Source organism: Homo sapiens, chromosome 18 (assembly GCF_000001405.40).
Source record: "Homo sapiens chromosome 18, GRCh38.p14 Primary Assembly".
Lineage (NCBI taxonomy): Eukaryota > Metazoa > Chordata > Mammalia > Primates > Hominidae > Homo > Homo sapiens.
Genome location: NC_000018.10, coordinates 22,402,625 through 22,423,225, shown reverse-complemented (window position 1 = coordinate 22,423,225; position 20,601 = coordinate 22,402,625). Strand labels below are relative to the sequence as shown.

The following is a 20,601-nucleotide window of genomic DNA, read 5'->3' as shown; positions in this document are numbered from 1 at the left end:
GAGTAAAACATTAGCTGTCACATTCCCCTTTTCCCTTCTGAGCAAAGGCAGTCTGGCTGTTTTCCTCCTTGGTCATCCTGTCTAATTGGCAAGGAATCATGGGAATTTCCGCAGTTTGCTTTGTGGAAGTTTTCCAGCTTTAATGTTTGTCAAACTATCAGCACAGGGCGAAGGCTGCCAGACTCAGCTGGAGCAGTAGCATGAGCTCTGAAGGGCCCTCACCTGGACACAGGTCCAGGCTCTTTGCTCTGGCCAAATTCGTGACCTTGAGCAAGTTGCTTCACCTCTTCTATCCTTAGTTTTATCTTCAGTTTACCCATGTAAAATGGAGGGAACAGCAATTTATAGGATTGTAGTGAGATTTAGGAGTAATGTCTGTAATACACATAGTACACTAGCCTGGCAAATAGTGGGCGCTCAATAATGGAGATGTTATAATCTCTTTTCAGCTTTTATACCTTTAAGTTTCTAAAAATGTTGCATTCAGACATTCATACACACACACACACACACACACACGTTAAAATATGAACAGGAAGAAAAGCAAAAGGAAAATATCAACATATTAATAATGACTAGTTTCAGATGAACCACTGTACAAACAAAAAATAAAATAAACTTTAAAAAATAACTGCAGGGTCATAATAATTTTTAGCATCCAGGTAATAACTAATAAATGTATTCATCTCATGTTCCCCTCTTCTCCTGACCAGATGTGAGCATGGTTAGGCTTTTGTTTGAAGTATTTACACCTTTGATCTTGACATTTTTATAATTCATATATATGTGCCTAAAGAAGACTGTATTGCTTTATGTGTTTCCTCTAAAAGTATTATCTCTTATGTGTCATTCTGTATCTTGCTTTTTTCATGTAACACGATGTTTTTGAAATCTCATCATGCTGCTACAAGTGTATCTAATTAATTCCTTCTAATTGTTATATTGTATTATATGAATATACCATAATTTGTTTATTCCACTTTTGATGGGCATTTAGGCTATTTTAATTTTTTCACTCTTACAAGCAATGCCACAATGAATAGTCTTGCATGTCTCTCTCCAGTGCACATCGGTGTTTTTTTTCAGAAAGAACTCTTAGAATCTCTTGGAAGATTGTGCATGTGTTAAGCTGTAATAAACACTATCAATTGCCCTTCAAAACGACTATCCTTGTTCTCTAGAACTTTGCTCACACTTAATTGAATCAAGCTTTAAAGTGTTCTCCAATCTGATGGATAAAGAATCATACTGCTTGAAGTTTTTTATTTTGAAATAATTATTGATTAATAGGAAGTTCAAAGATAGTACAGAGAGGTCCCTTGCCCCTTTTACTCAGTTTCTTTCAATGGCTACATCTAATATAATTATAGTACAATATCACACCAGAAAATCGACATTGGTATACAGTATGTATAGTTCTATGTCATTTTACTATACACGCAGATCCATGGAAACATAACCATAATTAAGATATGGAACTATCTCATCCCCCCAAAGATCTCCCTCTTGCTACCCCTTGATAGGCAGACCTGCCCGTCCCCACCAACTCTAACTACTTATCTGTTCTCCATCCCTATAATTGTGTCATTTTCATATGATTATATAAACACAATCAGACAGTGTGTGACCTTTGGAGACTGTTTTTTTTCACTCAGAATAATACCCTTGAGATCCAGCTAAGGTGTTGCATTTACCGATATTTTTTTCCCCTTTATTGCTGAGTTAAATCAGCAATAAATCATGGTAGGCATTACTGCAGTTTGTCCAATCCTTCACCTATCATAGGGCATTTTGGTTGTTTCCAGTTTGGAGATATCACAAATAAAGCTGCTATGAGCACCATGTGCAGGTTTTTGTGGGAACACAAGTTTTTGTTTCTCTGGGAAATGCCAGGGGTGCAGTGAGGGCTAGGTCACATCATAAGCATATGTTTAGTTTTTTAAGAAACGGGCACACCATTTTCCAGAGTGGTTGTATCATTTTATATTCCCTCCAGTGATGTGTGAGAGATCAATTTCTCCACATTTTTGCCACCATTTGGTGTTGCCACTAAGTCTTATTTTAGCTGTTCTAATTAGTGTGTGGTGGTATTGTTTGCTGGTCTTAATTCACATTTCCCTAAATGCCAGTGATGCTGAACAACTTTTCATGAGCTTATTTGCCATCTGTATGTCTACTTTGTAAAGTGTCTTTTCATATCTTTTGCTCATTTTATAATTGGATTGTTCGTGTTTCTTTTACAGTTGATATTTGAATGTCCTTTATAAATCTGTGTATTCTAGATATGAGTCCTTACATAGCGGGTGAGAGTTCAGGCTCCCCAAGTGGTCCTGATGAAGGACATGAAAGTGGTTCATTACCACCAGGAGGGGACAAAGTCCAGACCAGACTCCTCCCTTGGCCTTCTCTGACATCACCTCAACAAGGTGTATTAGTCTGTTCTGACACTGCTAATAAACATACCTGAGACTGGGTAATTTATAAAGGAAAGAGGATTAATTGACTCACAGTTCAGCATTGATGGAGAGGCCTCAGGAAACTTACAATCATGGTGGAAGAGAAAGCAAACACATCCCTCTTCACATGGCAGCAGGAAGGAGAAGTGCTGAGCAAAGGGCAAAAGCCCCTTATAAAACCATCAGATCTCATGAGAACTCACTTTCACAAAAACAGCATGGGAGTAACTGCCCCCATGATCCAGTCACCTCCCACTGGATCCCTCCATTGGGGACTACAGTGCAAGATGATATTTGAATGGGGACACAAACAATCATATCACGGGGGAAGGGTTGTGGGGAAGCAAGGGGTGCTCAGTAGAGCTTGTCCAGAGTGGAAGTTTAAGTTACCCTCTTGCACTTTGCTGGTAGAGATGGAGTGGGCCACAGTTTTTTTCTGTGGTGTCTGCTGGGAAAGATCAGTTCATGCCTAAGAGTTTTCTGTCTTGCTAGCCTGCCCCTCTTATGGGCTTTTGACCAGAGAGACAGGCTTTCCCTGCTCTGTGTCTATGGCATTTACTGGTTGCCCACTTCTTTAGCATCTCGTCTTTGGGACAAAAATAAAACCCACGGAACTCACCACCATATTGTTTCTTGGGTTTTGAGATCTCTAGCTGGTCTACCTTCTTCTCTCCACTGTTCAGTCTTCTCATGTTGTTTTATATCTACTGTCCAGGGTTTTTAGCTGTACTTAGCAGGAGAAATGGGGGGAAATACTTCTACTTCATCTTTCCAGAAGTAGAATGCATACCCTATTGTTCTAATTTGCTTTTTTTTAATTAGTGAAGTTGAGTATCATTTTATCTGTTCACTGGACATTTTATTTCCCTCCTCTAGAATTGCCTGTCTCTTCGTACATACTTTTGTCTACTGTTTCTACTCAATTAACTATATTTTTATTAATGATTTGTAGTTCTTTTGTTTTTTCTTTTGAGACAAAGTCTTGCTCTGTTGCCCAGGCTGGAGTGCAGTGGTGCAATCTCAGCTGACTGCAACCTCCACCTCCCAGGTTCAAGAGATTCTCCTACCTCAACCTCTTGGGTAGCTGGGATTACAAGCGTCCACCACCACACCTGGCTCATTTTTGTAATTTTAGTAGAGTCGGGGATTCACCATGTTGGTCAGGCTGGCCTTGAACTCCTGACTTCAAGTGATCCTCTTGCCTTGGCCTCCCAAGGTGCTGGGATTATAGACATGAGCCACCGCACCCAGCCTAGTTCTTTATATATTCTGAATATTATTCCTTTGTCAATTTATATGTTGCATATATTTTCCAAATCTGTTACTTATTTTGCTTATAACGGTTTTGTCACCCAGAGGCCTTTAAATTCTAATGCAGTCAGCTTGTTGTCTTTTAATAATGAAAATATAAGAACTATACAAATATGCGGGCGGAAGATGGCAAAGGGAGCTGGTGCTTGTGCAAGTTGTTGAGGTGTGCTCTGTGGAATGATGGCTGTCACAGACACTGTCAAGCAGGAGGTTGCCCTGGCTGTGCACATGCTGCAAAGCATGCATGTGAACGTGATTCTGATCACGGGGGACAACTGGAAGACAGTCAGAGCCTTTGCCACCCAGGTTGGCATCAACAAAGTCTTTGCAGAGGTGTTGCCTTCACACAAGGTGACCAAGGTTCAGGAGCTCCTGAATGAAGGGAAGAAAGTCGCCATGGTGGGGGACGGGGTCAATGATTCCCTGGCCTTGGCCCAGGCAGACTTGGGCATTGCCACTGGCACTGGCACGGATGTGGTCATCGAGGCAGCCAACGTCATCCTCATCAAAAATGATTTGCTGGATGTGGTGGCTAGCATTCATATTTCCAAGATGACTGTCCAGAGGATATGCATCAAACTGGTCCTGGCGCTGATTTATAACCTAGTGGGCATACCCATTGCTGCAGGAGCAAGCTTTCCAGATGAGTTGAAGATATGTGCATGGGCGGGAGATGATGACTTATTGCAGGGCAAGGCGTCATCCGTGTTGAAGGAGTGCCAGTGTTTCAGAAATGGACACAGAGCAGGTAAGTTTGATGGACAGGTAAGAGAATCACTCTCTATGTGCCAGCACTGTTCTAAGAGTCCTGGATCTTCTGGGGATGAGATTAGCGTTTTTCAGTTGTACATGGGACAGCTGAGGCTCATGCTAGGGAGTGGTGAGCCCTTTCCTGGAAGAAGTTAATCTAAAAAGCATAATCTGTCTCATTTGGGAGGAGCTAAATAAATATCTCTTCAATGAAGCAAAGGTCAATCAGAAAATTTGTATTTTAGCTATAAAATTACCTATCAGAATTTACCATAGGGCATAATCTTAGTCAAGCACCCAAATTCATTATTTCAGCCACAGATACTGAAACACCAAAGGGATAAGGGGGCAGGTATTTCAGTTAGCTACTGCTGCATAACAAATGACCCCAAAGCTTAGTGACTTAAAACAATGATTTGTTATTCCTTATCATTCTGTCAGCTGGGAGGTTCTTCTGCCCGCCCCACCTGGGGTCATGCACAAGGCTACATTTAGCTAGGGTGTCAGCTTGGGATGGGCATAGCTGGGATGCTGGGTCACCTGAGTCTTTCTCACCATGTGGTACTGTTTTAAAATATAGGTTTTAGCGCTTCCTCAGGATGTAAAGTGTAACAAAGGTACCGGGGTGGGCAGTGTGGGTCTGTGAGGCCTACGGGTGCCCGCGTCCCCTAACTCCCCCCGCAGCCGGCTCCGCAGTGGTACGCTCCGGTTGCCCGTTAGGGATTCAGGTTCCAAACGGAATGCTGCGTCTTCTCCAGCGTTTGTTGTGGCCGAGGTTACTGCAGCAACCGCCAGAGCAGCCTTGGCGCTACGGAGGAGCCTAGGGCTAACCCTCAGCCATACCTGGGGCTGGTCCTGGAGTTGCTACGCAGGGTTGTGGCAGCACTGACTGAAGGTATGAGACCCGATTCTCATCCTTATGGTTTTCCATGGGAATTGGTGATACGTGCAGCTGTTGCTGGATTTTTTGCTGTTCTCTTCTTGTGGAGAAGTTTTAGATCAGTTACGAGTCGGCTTTATGTGAGAAGAGAGAAAAAGTTTGCTGTGGCACTTTCTGGACTAATTGAAGAAAAATGTAAACTACTTGAAAAATTTAGCCTTGTTCAAAAAGAGTATGAAGGCTATGAAGTAGAGTCATCTTTAAAGAATGCCAGCTTTGAGAAGGAGGCAACAGAAGCACAAAGTTTGGAGGCAACCTGCGAAAAGCTGAACAGGTTCAATTCTGAACTTGTGCATGAAATACTCTGTCTAGAAAAAGAGTTAAAAGAAGAGAAATCTAAACATTCTGAACAAAATGAATTGATGGCGGATATTTCCAAAAGGATACAGTCGCTAGAAGATGAGTCAAAATCCCTCAAATCACAAGTAGCTGAAGCCAAAATGACCTTCAAGAGATTTCAAGCGAATGAAGAACGGTTGGAGATAGAAATACAAGATGCTTGGAAAGAAAATTCTGAACTTCAGGAAAGCCAGAAACAGCTTTTGCAAGAAGCTGAAGTATGGAAAGAACAAGTGAGTGAACTTATTAAACAGAAAAGAACATTTGAAGACTCCAAAGTACATGCAGAACAAGTTCTAAATGATAAAGAAAATCACATCAAGACTCTGACTGAACGCTTGCTAAAGATGAAAGATGGGGTTGCTATGCTTGAAGAAGATGTAACGGATGATGATAACTTGGAATTAGAAATGAACAGTGAATCGGAAGATGGTGCTTACTTAGATAATCCTCCAAAAGGAGCTTTGAAGAAACTGATTCATGCTGCTAAGTTAAATGCTTCCTTAAAAACCTTAGAAGGAGAAAGAAACCAAATTTATATTCAATTATCTGAAGTTGATAAAACAAAGGAAGAGCTTACAGAGCATATTAAAAATCTTCAGACTGAACAAGCATCTTTGCAGTCAGAAAACACACATTTTGAAAGTGAGAATCAGAAGCTTCAGCAGAAACTTAAAGTAATGACTGAATTATATCAAGAAAATGAAATGAAACTCTACAGGAAATTAATAGTAGAGGAAAAATGCCGGTTAGAGAAAGAAGAGAAACTTTCTAAAGTAGACGAAATGATCAGCCATGCCACTGAAGAGCTGGAGACCTACCGAAAGCGAGCCAAAGATCTTAAAGAATTTGAGAAAACTATTCATTTTTATCAAAAGAAGATTATTCTCCATGAGAAAAAAGCACATGATAATTGGTCGGCAGCTTGGACTGCTGAAAGAAACCTCAATGATTTAAGGAAAGAAAATGCTCACAACAGACAAAAATTAACTGAAATAGAGTTTAAAATAAAACTTTTAGAAAAAGATCCTTATGGACTTGATGTTCCAAATACAGCATTTGGCAGACAGCATTCCCCATATGGTCCCTCACCATTGGGTTGGCCTTCATCTGAAACGAGAGCTTCTCTCTATCCTCCAACTTTGTTGGAAGGTCCTCTCAGACTCTCACCTTTGCTTCCACGGGGAGGAGGAAGAGGCTCCAGAGGCCCAGGGAATCCTCCGGACCATCAGATTACCAAAGAAAGAGGAGAATCAAGCTGTGATAGGTTAACTGATCCTCACAGGGCTCCTTCTGACGCTGGGCCCCTGGCACCTCCGTGGGAACAGGACTATAGGATGATGTTTCCTCCACCAGGACAATCATATCCTGATTCAGCTCTCCCTCCACAAAGGCAAGACAGATTTTATTCTAATTGTGCTAGACTCTCTGGACCAGCAGAACTCAGAAGTTTTAATATGCCTTCTTTGGATAAAATGGATGGGTCAATGCCTTCAGAAATGGAATCCAGTAGAAATGATACCAAAGATAATCTTGGTAATTTAAAGGTGCCTGATTCATCTCTCCCCGCTGAAAATGAAGCAACTGGCCCTGGCTTTGTTCCTCCACCTCTTGCTCCAATCAGAGGTTTATTGTTTCCAGTAGATACAAGGGGCCCGTTCATAAGAAGAGGACCTCCTTTCCCCCCACCTCCTCCAGGAACCGTGTTTGGAGCTTCTCCAGATTATTTTTCTCCAAGGGATGTCCCAGGTCCACCACGTGCTCCATTTGCAATGAGAAATGTCTATTTACCGAGAGGTTTTCTTCCTTACCGTCCCCCAAGACCTGCATTTTTCCCCCCAGCCCCCACATTCTGAAGGTAGAATGAGTTTCCATCAGGGTTGAGTCCGACTTCAAATGAGCCTGCTGCTGAACATCCAGAACGACAGCAAGAAACCTAACAACATGTTTGCCCTCTTCAAAAGTAATTTTGACTGATCTCATTTTCAGTTTAAGTAACTGCTGTTACTTAAGTGATTACACTTTTGTTCAGATTGAAACTTAATGGAACTATAATTCCCAGGATAGTATTTTGTAAATGAGGATGATTTAAATATGAATCTTATGAGTAAATTATTTCATTTTATTTTATTCTAGATAGTATAACTTTTAATTTGATTAATCCACTATTATATAAAGAATGGTGGGAGCTTTATATATGTAATCTTGCAGGTGGGGAGGCTTTAAATTGTCTTTATGTCAAGAACTGTATTTACTGTGGTTGTAGACAAATGTGAAAGTAACTTTATGCTTAAATAAGTTTTAGTTGATTAAAAAAATTTAAAAAATTTAAAAAAAGAAATATATAAATATGCACAGGTGGGAAGGTAGAATACTATGTAACTGTTAGAATATTTCACTTTAAACCAAGATGATCTTGGATCTCCTGTCTTATAGATTTTATATCCTCTTTCAGTACTTTGAGAGTGTAAAACATTTATAGCAGAAAGTATTCGTGTTTCCTCTGTTTTCCTCAAGAATGGTTTCTTCGCCCTCCCTTTCCTTCCCTTCGTCTTCCCTAAGCTAATTTCTTCCTATGTTTGTCATCATATCATTACATAATTGTGTTGTTATTTCTTTTGTTTTATTTTTATTTGGTGGGAACAACTTTATCCAGAACTTTTACTTGCCCCAGAATTATATAGATCAGTTTCTCCTGACTTCTTTCCCAACCTTTACCTCTGTTGGTGTTCTAATAGTTTTAGTTTTATGTTCTGCTTTTCTCTTGCTGTGGCAAGGGGAAGGAGTAAATCTAAGATAGTGCTTAATTGCAGTTGGTGAATTTGATCTCTGATTGAGCTCTCTTCTCTGGAATTCTGTTAAAAGATGAAATGTATCGTGTTCCCTGAGAGACGCCCTCAAATTTTGGATTAGTCCTTCATGCAAGCTGGGCCACCAAGCCATTGCTTCTTTTGGGGACAACCTGCCCTCACTTTTAAAAAGCATCCTAGCTCACATGCCTCCCCTAGCAGTTAATGCCACTCCAGTCTCTGCTTGAATGTAATAAAATAAAAGAAAAGTAACTATTTGAGACATGAGGTGCCCTTATTGTACACTGGGGCTTCCTATACATTTTCCGTCTTCCCTTGAACCACCACTATCCTCAGCTACTTTATGCTTCTGTTCTGTTAAAGCCCTATTTGCTAGTGGAAAAATTTAACTCCTGGTGATTTTTTTAATACTAGGCCTCTTGCCTTCCTTCCAGTGAGAGAAAAATAGAATGGTAAGCCTAGTGGTTTCTTCCTTCACTGTTGAATACTATTTATCCAAGGTATCAAGGAAGAACTTCTAATCAGAAAAGACATGTATTATTTTCACAACTGGGTAGCATATCTCACTCCCAGAATGGAAGTTAGGTGGGAATTGCAAGATTAAGGAGATTTTTCTGGATTTCTGTCTATGTATCATATCCACAGAACTCTTTCTAGAGGAATTTTATATTGAGCCAGGCATCCATTTCCACAGTCTTGCATTTCTAGATACTTCCAAAGTTATAGCACTGTTCCTAAATCATTTTTGGCTTTATTTATTAATTTATTGTTCACTTCATTTCATTAGGTTCAGTATGAAACAGGTATTGTCATCTCTTTGTGTCTACTTTGCCACCTTTCCCCAGAATAGGCCTGAATGAGATTGAAAACGTTACTTCAGTTCCTTGTGTCTGACATTGCTTGTTTGTAACTAAGAAAAATAATATTTGCTTTTGTTGAATGACTACTAATTTTTTTCCATGAACCTAATAAACTAAAAAGAAAGTTGAAATAATAAAGAGTGAATAAGTATAAAAATCCATGTTGAGTCAATCTTCCTTCAGAAACTTTTTCCTCAAACTCTCTTACCAAATTTGAGGTAACACATTACCTATGAACCGGGTTGGCAGTCCTCGCCAATCGTTAATTTTGTTTTCCTTTCTTCCCTCCCTCTTTCTTTCTTTCCTTCTTTCCTTCTCTGTCTCTCTCTTTCTTCTTTCAGGGGAAGTATCTCTGCATGGAGATCTCATTTCTAAAGGTGTGGAGGGATAACAGGGTGGCTTTCACTAAGATACAAGTTGACTTAAACCAACTGAGCTGCCCGATCTTACTAACATTCTGTATCCATTCTCTCCTCTGCAGTTTTAGAATAGCAGCCTGTGTCCACTGTATCCTTACCAAGTCCCATTCCTTCCCCCGGTTGACTTCTACTAGTCCTGAAGCTACCAGTTAAAATATCATTTGATGATTTCTCTGGGAAGCCTGTCTTACTCTCCAAGACTGGATGAGGTGCCTCCCATGTGAACCCTCTCCCATAACATACTGTCTCTACCCTTATCTGCAGTGATCAGCCTGTATGGTGATGAACTATATCTTTTTATTTCCTGTTGGATAGTAAGCCAGAAGGGCACGGACTAAGCACCCAGTTCAGTCCTTTGCACATCATTGCCCTTCAATGAATATGTGTTTCATGACTAAATTTTTTAAAACTTAATAATATTTCCAAAGTTTTTAAGGCATTTTGAAGCTCAAAATAGTGGTCAAGTTGGTTCTCATCACCTCATCTTTTGTGGTTTATTGAAAGGAGTGCATACATGCTCTCAATTCACAAACGTATGATTGTGTGGACCAAATTTTTAACAGAATTTGGCAAAACACCAGAGCTAGCTTACATTCTTAAGCAGCTGAGCAGCCACAGGTTTCATCACACTATTATTAATGGCTTTATTTTCCCATCACTGTTGCACCATTATGCCCTTTGCAGAATTAATCAAAGGCACAATCTCTGCCCTGAGGCTTTGGATTTTATCATTCCACTGCCTGAAGTCATCCATCTGAGAAGCCAGGTAATACACTCCTACCTCTGAAGGGTGTTGAACATCAATTAATGCTCAGCTGTCTTCAATATGAAGATTGCATTCAAATGAACATGTCCCTCATCTGTTCTATTAATAATTACACCCCATGTTTGAGCGAGGTGGCTAAGACCACAGAGCATTAGGATTTGCAAGGATTTTGCGTGCAGTGCAAAGCTTGTTGTCTCTAAATGTAAAGTATCAATAGGAGGCATTAAAATGTCAGCACCTTTTCAGGAATTTTGCTCATGAAAACGACTGCAAAAGAGTCCTCTGAATACATCACTGTAGACCAAGTTATAGTCTAAGCATTAGATCAGCTAGGAGCCTCCAGAGAGTTCCTGAAGTGTGAGGAACAAGTGTTTTAAATGGTGGGGTGACATGGTGGGAGGGGGTCCTGGGAGAATCTGAATTTGCCGGACACTTCCATCCCCCAACTTGGCAGTCGATCAACTTGACACTTCCCGGCTCTAATTTTCTTCCTCCTCATTTTTATTTCACGGCATTCCCAATTATGCAGCTGCCAGGAAAGGAAGCAATGGAATTTCAATATAGAAAAGACCAGGCCACTTCTTTTCGGACTAGACACTTATGCACAAAGAGCCAGTGGGTCACATCTTCTGCTGGTTCGGAGATGCTTCCAGGACAACCAAGCAAGGTCGAGCGACAACATCAGCCTCTTTGGCTTCGCTCTTTCCTTAGCAGCCACACGATTTCTCAGCTGCCCAGGGGATCATCTGTAATAGGCCATTTTATTTGGTAAATGTTTCCCTACTTACTGAAGACTGTTCATTATTAATGACCAGAAAGGGAACTCCTGCCTCCCATGGCAGAAGTTGATACATTTGCTTTGTATAATTGCTGTGTATAGTTAGCCATGTGGTTGTGCAGCTGAAATAAATTGCCTTCTTCCCATAAGAGCCTCCCTGAGTGTCACAGGAGAGCTAGAAGGAAGCTGGCCACAGAGACTAATCTCTTCGCTAACGCCGTAGACGATTCCAGAAGCTGAAGACAGATGGCAAGTTTGAGATGAATAGCATTTTTTAATGGCTTCAAAATAGCTCTGTCTGTAAACAGCTTTTCTGAATGACAGCACGTAGTACAATTTAATTTATCTATTGCTGCTGTTGTTAGATCTTCTGAGAACTTTCCCCCAGTCCCTCTATTAGAACAAACACTAATCTCACTTCAAAGGGGGAAAATCTAGAATGGTAGGAGGCAAGTGGAACGAAAGGGTAAGAAGAATTTCAACCTACAAATAAATGACAGGTATCCTCCAAACAGTGTCTTGTAGCCTGGAACTTGAAGAAAGTAACTCCGTGTTGAGATTTAAGAGCAGAAGTTGAACTCTGAACTCTGAAATGAAATAGGCCCAAAGACTAGGAGAAAAGGTCATGATAAGACAGCACACCTTGGTCTGTTTCTGATTAGTAAGAATTCACATCCCACCAATGAGATTAATCCTTCGTCATTCATGTAATTGGTTTGGGAAATGCTACTATGGGCGAGAACACGGGTATTCTTTATAGGCTAGCAGGGGAAAAAATGAGTATAAAAGGTAATCGGAGGCAGGCGTGGTGGCTCATACTTGTAATCTCAGCACTTTGGGAGGCCAAGGCAGGTGGATCACTTGAGGTCAGGAGTTGGAGACTAGCTGGGGCAACATGGTGAAACCCCGTCCCTGCTGAAAAAAATACAAAAAAATTAGCTGGTCATGGTGGTGCACCTGTAGTCTCAGCTACTCAGGAGGTTAAGGCACAAGAAGTGCTTGAATCCAGGAGGTGGAGGTTGCAGTGAGCTGAAATCATGCCACTGCACTCCAGCCTGGGTGACAGACGGAGACTCTGCCTCAGAAAAAAAAAAAAAAAAAAAGGAATCAGTGCTAATAATTAAGTGAAGAAATAAGTTCGTACCTCTAATTTCCAATTTCCAATTTCTACAAATGTCTATTAAAACGGCATGTTTCCCATAAGAAGCCACTTTAAAGGGGCATAGTAGAGTAGTTAATAGAAAATGCTAGCATTTCTTACAAAGTAGTAGATGTAATAAGCCTAAAATTAAGAGTGAGAATTAAACAGAGGGGAAGTTCAATAGGAATAATGATTTTACGTTCAATAAAAATAGTCACAAACCAGTTACAGAAAAAGACCATGGTCAGACTTTTTCCTTCTATTCTGATATTGGAGGTGAAATGATGTAAAAAGCTACTCTTTCTTATTCTGTATTGCATCATTCTTTCAAAACACACACAAGTGCTAGCAGTTGGTGACCACTTAAAATTTATGCTTGTTTTAATAAAGCATTATAGTTGCATTGGAATGACGCTCTCGGTCTCTGAAATCTGAAATAAACCTGGCTTGTTTTCCCATATTGTTCATTCAGCTTTACAGATATTTATTAATTGCCTGCAATGTCCAAAGCATTTGTAACAATGACCACACTTTACGAGCCCCAAAGTGGGTCAACAGTACTTATTTGCATAGTAGGATGAAATATTTAAAATTGAGACTGTCTCCAAAATTCAAACTAAAAGCTTGGTGCCAAGAGCTGAAAGGAAAAATAAGAAAGTTACTCAAAAGTTTATGTGCAGAGGAATTAAATGCACACACACACAATATTCAGTTGCTGCAAAAGTAATTGAGGTTTTTGCTATTAAAAATAGTGGATGGCAAAGTAAGGCAGGTGACTCAAGAAGGCACAACCAGCACTGTGTGGCCATCATGTATCCAGAGTCCCAGGTCCACCACTTGCTGCTCTTGTGACTCTGAGCAGGTCCTGGGACCTCTGTGAAGCCTGGTTTGGAGAGAATACTATCCAGTCAACAGGTGTATTGTGGGGAACCTGGAACTGTGTCTGTCACATAAGAGCTAGTCTAAAAAAATGTTTTAAGTACCCTGTGTATTCAAAAGAGGAAGTCGCATTAGCCTGGGGAAAGCTAAACAGGAAAGGATCCATTCTTTTTTGAAGGTGGTACATGAGAGCTCTTAGGGGTAAGTTTTCTGTGGCTTGAGGCTATGCTGGGGAGCTAGGAGCTTTGTCTGTCTAGAGAAGGGAAAGAATCAGTAAAGCTTCCAATTCTCCTACACCATTAGAAGTTCTGGGGACAAGCACCTGCACAGTGGAGGAAATTAGTTGGGAAGATAAAGAGAAGAGAGCCAAGAACAAAAGTTTGGGCAATGCTGACATTTAAAGGGGGAAGTATAGGCAGCAAAGATGGAGAGAAAGTGGTCTGAGAATTTGGAGGAAAACCAGAAGTGACAGTGTCACAGGAGCCAAGCGACGAAAGAGTGCCAAAACGGAGCAGTGGTGTCCAAAGCTTCAGCGAGATGGATGGGAAGGAAAACCAAGAGGAGGTCAATGAGTTCAGCAGTTATGGGGTCAATGGTGGTATGGTGGTCTGTGACAGTAACCCTATAATGACGTTCACCATGGTACTAGACGTGTGTCTCTTAAAGAGGTTGGGTTCATTATGTTGTATTCTGAAGGCCACGGCCAATTCAGTCCATGGATCAAGGCCTTACTCATGTCTCTCAGGAACAGGGTGGACATCAGGATGTCAGGAAAGCTGGATTTTCTGTGAAGACATTCCTACTCAAAAGGTAAGCAGGAGGCAAATCTCTCTGGGTCTCACTTTCTTGAATCTGGACTTCCAGAGTTTAAAAAGAACTTGAAGAAGCTCCAATATAGGAGGAAAGATGTTCTCTGCCACAGGGAACAGGGCAGGGAAGCATCCTCATACTGAATGCTGTAGGAGAAAGCCCTACTTTGTTGGGTGGTATATTCGTCCATTCTCACACAGCTAATAAGGACATACCCAAGACTGGGTAATTTATAAAGGAAAGAGGGTTAATGAACTCACAGTTCCACATGGCTGGGGAGGCCTCACAATCATGGCAGAAGGCAAAGGAGGAGCAAAGTCACATCTTACATGGCAGCAGGCAAGAGAGAGCATATGCAAGGGGAACTGCCCTTTATAAAGCCATTAGATCTCATGAAACTTTTTCACTATCATGAGAACATCATGAGAAAAACCCACCCCCATGGTTCAATTATCTCCCACCAGGTCACTCCCATGACACGTGAGGATTATGGGAGCTACAATTCAAGATGAGATTTGGGTGAGGACACAGCCAAACCATATCAAGTGGATAATTTGGTTTCAGGTTGTTTCTTCAATTTGTTTACCCCAAATCTTCAGTCTCATTTAAAGGGTTCTGACTGGTCTTAGTTGTGCCGGAAGGTAATTAACAAAAAGTGTCTGGCCTCAAATAGACTGAGGTGTTAAAGAGGGCACAGCTCCTCTTGAGGCCCATGTGGGGATGACACCCTCTAGGACAGGAAACCAGAGCCCAGGGGAGGCTAGAAACAGGAGAAACCAACAATCAGAGGCACAGGGTTTAGAGATGAAGAGAAGGTGAGAGGCAGCAACAATTTTATTCCTTCCTCCCTGAATCAACGCTTATGCACACTGCAGATGAGGAAGAGCGTGGGGAGTAATTAGGGCTGTGGGTTTATCATGGAGTAAGGCACTGCTGCTACTTGCAAGGAACCTAAGAAAGTAACAGGGTTTAGAGACACCCTTGGGTGCCTGGAGAAGTGGCATGTTTGTAAACAGGGCAGAGGGTTCTGTAAGTGAGTGAAGGGGAGCATACAAGACATGGAGAGGCTGGGGGAGGTGCTGGGAGAAGTGAGGTCCAAGGCTTAGGTGAGTTGTCACCCTTGCAGATTCCTCTTTTGCAGCAGAAGGAGACACACACACAAAGAATATCAGTGATTTTTGAGGAAGAGAAAGGAGAAGCAGTGAAAATCAGATGGCAGTGGCCCTTTATGCAAAATAGAAAGTGAGATCTGTGGAAGGCAGGGCCAGGGTGGAGAGCTGTGAGCGCAGTTTGGAAAAGTAGGAAGGAAAGGGGCGCCACGAAGTCCTGAAGGCTGCTATTTGCAGGAGCACGTTGCTCATCGCCAGGTGACAGCCACCAGAACTGCAGGTGCCAGGCCTTCAAGGGAAGACATCAAGGCCTCCAGCACACCTGCTGGCTGAGCTAGCTTAAACTCACGAGGGGCAACTGCCATCAGGTTGTGGCCTTGGAAACCATGTTGAGCTGCAATAGAGAGTGATGTAACCATGCCAAGAAAAGCTCACTGGTCCTTGGCACTTGCCAGTCACTCCTTGGACTGCCTCTCAGGTGCTTCTCTGCCTAACATACTCCTACTCAACCATGAAATCTCAGGCAGAGCTAGTCTTCCTTTTCTGCTGCACTCCCATTTGTATTTGTACAACCTGCCATTTTGCAAGATTGAACCTGTGTGTTCCACCCCTAGACTGTAAGCTCCCCGGAAGAGCATGTTAAAAATGCAGAATCTCAGACCCCTCCCCAGACCTAGAGTCAGAATCTGCATTGTAACAAGATCCTCAGCTGATTCAGGTGCACATTCAGAATTGAAAAGCCCTGATATCAGTGGTAAATAACTCATATAGGTAATGTACTATTATGGAAGATGCAGTCTGGCATTTTTCTATTTTATTCTATTTCATGTTTTATTATTATTATTATTATACCTTAAGTTCTGGGGTACACGTGCAGAATGTGCAGGTTTGTTACATAGGTATACATGTGCCACGGTGGTTTGCTGCACCCATCAACCCGTCATCTACATTAGGTATTTCTCCTAATGCTATCCCTCCCCTAGCCCCCACCCCCCGACGTGCCCCGGAGTGTGACGTACCCCTCCCTGTGTCCATGTGTTCTCATTGTTCAACTCCCACTTATGAGTGTTCAGTTTGGTTTTCTGTTGTTGTGTTAGTTTGCCAAGAATGATGGTTTCCAGCTTCATCCATGTCCTTGCAAAGGTTTGCTGGAGGTCCACTCCAGACCCTGTTTGCCTGAATATCACCAGTAGAGGCTGCAGAACAGCAAAGATTGCTGTCTGTTCCTTCCTCTGGAAGCTTCGTCGAAGAGGGGCACCCACCAGATGCCAGCCGGAGCTCTCCTGTGTGAGGTGTCTGTCGGCCCCTACTGGGAGGTATCTTCCAGTCAGGATCCACGGGGATCAGGGACTCACTTGAGGAGGCAGTGTGTCCCTTATCAGAGCTCGAATGCTGAGCTGGGAGATCTGCTGCTCTCTTCAGAGCTGTCAGACAGGGACGTTTAAGTCAGCTGAAGCTGCGCCCACAACTGCCCCTTCCCTCAGGTACTCTGTCCCAGGGAGATGGGGGTTTTATCTATAAGTCCCTAACTGGGGTTGCTGCCTGTTTTTCAGAGATGCCCTGCCCAGAGAGGAGGAATCTAGAGAGGGAGTCTGGCCGCAGAGGCCTTGCTGAGCTGTGGTGGGCTCCGCCCAGTTTAAACTTCCTGGCAGCTTTGTTTTCTCTGTTTCATGTTTTTAAAATGCTGGTCCTGACCCACTACATTTAAATGACATTAGTTCATTTACTTTTCAGAGCTTGAGCTATGGATTATAAAGCTTCCTTCAACCCTTTTAGTGCTTCTCTGACCTCTCAAATCACCCCTAATGGCAAGAGACAGTAACTGTGTGCCCCCAGGTGCCTGAGGCATAAGGAGCAACTGCTGAAAGTTTGAAAATTTATTTCAGGTGTTTTTTTGTTTTGAAATATCATACAAATTATGCAAACAATTCTTATTTATGATATCTGCTTGCTTTGGTGTAAGAACATGGGTTTTGTGCAAAACTTCAAACACATAAGCACAGAGAAAATAGCAGAGTGAATCCTCTTTCAGTCATCACCTGGCTCTAAAAATTATCAACATTCTGTCATTTGCTTTCATCTTTCTGCTCCTTCTAATACACCAGACACATAGAGATGAAACATATGCACACTTATTTTTACTAGAGTATTTTAAAGCAACTCCTAGACAACATGCCACTTTACCTCAATATTTGCTGATAGGCAAATGCTCTTTTTTCAACCATAACTCAGTATTGTTATCACACCTAGCAAAATTACCAATAAATCTTTAATATCATCTTTTTCCCAATTAGTTTTCAATTTTCCCTAGTTGTCTTGAAAATATCTTTTGATGGCTGGATTGCTTGAATGAGGATCCTAAAAATATCCACATATTTGCATGTGGTTGATATATCCTTTAAGGGAGTTCCCCCCCTTTTCCTCTTTATTTTTAATGTGATTTATTTGTGGAAGAAACTGAGTAATCTTTCCTACATAACTTCTTTTGTTATGTATTTAGCTAATTGCATCCTCATGGTGTCATTTAACATGTTCCTCCATCCTTCATATTTTCTTAACCTGGTAGATAGGGGTCTTGGCAGGTGGTACCTTGTACTTTCTGTTGCATGCCACCAGGATGCACATAATGGGTGCTTATCCCACTTTGTGGGAGTGGAGTTAAGGTTGGCCAGTGTTTAGGAGGGGTTCAGGAGGTGTCAGTCTGATCCATCAATTATAAAGTTCCCATCAACATTTCACCCAATGGTGTTAGTAGCTGCTGAAGAAAGATTGTTTCCTGGGACCATGATCTCACAGGGGTGACAAATGATGATTTGCTAATTGTTATTTCTTTTACTAGCTATTAGATAGATAGATAGATAGATAGATAGATAGATAGATAGATAGATAAACTTTCTCTTGTTAGTTATTTGATTACTCTGAAATACTCCCCCCAAAAACAATATTAATGTTAGAATTCTTTCCCATTATTTACCAGTTTTCAGAATAAATATATCCCTCTCAAGAACCCTCTGAGAGAAATGTTATTTATAGCCCCACTTTATTTTACAGACAGGGAAACTGAGACAGTGAAAGATTACATGAATTTTTCAATATCACAAGGCTATTGGAGGACAGAACAAAAATTCAAGTTTTAGTCGAACTGACTCCAGAGTCTCTTTAGATAACTTTCTCAACCTTCTACTTCATGTGTATAAATATATTAATATGTTAATATAATACAGAATCATGAGCAGGAATTACTTTCTTCCTTAAGAAAAGTTATCCTATTGACTTAGAAATACCTCTTCCCAATGTGATATCACATCATACCTGTTAGAATGGCTATTAACAAAAAACAAAAGGCAATAAGTGTTGGTGAGGATAGACCAACAGTATACACTGTTGATGGGAATGCAAAATGGTGCAGTCTCTATGGAAAATAGTATGGAAAAAAATTTAAAATCAAAATAGAATTACTATATGACTTAGCAATTCCTCTTATAGATATTTATCCAAAAGAGTTGAAATCAGGATCTCGAAAAGATAGGAGCACTCCTGTGTTCACTGCAGCATTATTTATAATAGCCAATATGTGGAAATGATCTAAATGCCCATCAGTGAATGAATGGATAAAGAAAATATGGCATATATATACAATGGAATATTATTCAGCCCTAAAAAAGGAGATTCTACAATATGGAATAACATAAGTGAATCTTGAGGACATTATGCTAAGTGAAATACGCCAGTCGCAGATGGGCAGGTATGGCATGATTCCATGTACATGAAGTATCTAAAGTAGTCAAACTCATTGAAGCAAAAAATAGAATGTTGGTTGTCAGGGGTTGTGGGGGTAAGGGAATTGGATGTTGTTAATCAATGGGTGTGAAATTTCAGTTATGCAAGATGAGTAAGTTCTAGAGATTTACTGTACAACGTTGTGCCTGTAGATAACACCACCATAAAGTACACTTAAAAATCCATTAAGAGGTTTGATCTCATGTTAAGTAATTTTACCACAACAAAATTTTTAAAAGAAGAATAAATACTGTTACGTAAAGGAAAACCTCAGTGGAAGAATAAATGTAAAGAACTATTTTTTTTCATCAAGCTTTGGAAAAGTGTCAAATGCATTGTTACTGATATTAATGGAACATCTGTACTAATGAATCAGGAGGAGTTACCACTACTATCAACTGTAAGCTGATGGCTTTTTCAGATGATATCTGATTAACTGGTATTACATCAACAAACCCCTCCCCCAGACTTCCACATAACAAGCTAAAGATTGTCTGGAGAAGTTACCAACCAGAATTAGCACAGGGATTATCAACTGAAATACAGATAGTTAGAGGCTGAGTAGAGATTAGAAGGTGGTATACAGCCTTCTGTACACACACCACAAATGCCTAGAGTGGTGGCAGATAGTCAATTAGAAAAGAGTTTGCCATGGTTCTTGAGGAGTCAATTCAAAGCTAGTGTCAGGTGCTTCAGAAGAGGTTCTAGGTCATAGAATTAGACAGAGGTCATTGGCAGTCATTTTGTAATTCTTGTAAGCTTACCTGGTATACTGGAGTTTTTTTGTAGACAACTAATAACAAGAAAGATGTGGTGAAGTTGGAGGGAAGCCAGAGGTCAACACAAACAACAAAGGTAAATGGGAATGCTAAAAATGCTCTCTGTTCACAAAAGGGTGAGAAAACACTTTGGATATCTGAGGACTATAAAACCCAAGGATTGGAAGAAACTATGTTAGTTTGGAATACAAAAATACTGCTAGATGCAGAAAAGCGTCTACACTTTGGTTCCTATCTGCATTTCCTTGTGTATTTCCTGGTGCTCCCATTACAGACACTACTCTTTGCCTAGGGAAAGGCTGCTTTCAGTAGTACATAAGCAACATAGGGCAGAGATTTGGTATGCATTGTTCCCTAGTGTATCCCCAGCACTGAGAACAGTGCTAAACCTTAGTAGGAGGAGCTAAATATATTTTTAGTGAATTAATTTAGAGCTTTTCCCTACTTATTTCAAGGTGAAACTTAATCCCATTTCTTCAACAAGTTGTAATTTCTCCATCCAATGTTCTTTATAGCTTTATTGTAGTTTGTACCTTGTTTTAGTTTTTGTCTTTAATACATAGATTTCTTTGCGATTAGATCATGAGCTCTTGCTAGTCTTTGTCAGAACATAATCCAAAGATTTTCTACATCAATTTTACCTATAGCACTTAATTTAAAATGTTGTGTACTAG

At 40.9% G+C, this 20,601-nt stretch overlaps 1 protein-coding gene and 1 pseudogene across 1 annotated transcript; both read left to right on the top strand.

Annotated features, from left to right (window-relative positions):
- On the top strand, nt 3,926-4,396 carry ATP7BP1 (ATPase copper transporting beta pseudogene 1; annotated as a pseudogene).
- Nucleotides 5,311-9,627, top strand: CTAGE1 (cutaneous T cell lymphoma-associated antigen 1). The gene has a single exon (NM_172241.3). The coding sequence runs from the start codon at nt 5,415-5,417 to the stop codon at nt 7,650-7,652; it is 2,238 nt and encodes a 745-aa protein (NP_758441.2). The 5' UTR covers nt 5,311-5,414; the 3' UTR covers nt 7,653-9,627.
- The last annotated feature ends 10,974 nt before the right edge of the window (nt 9,628-20,601 follow it).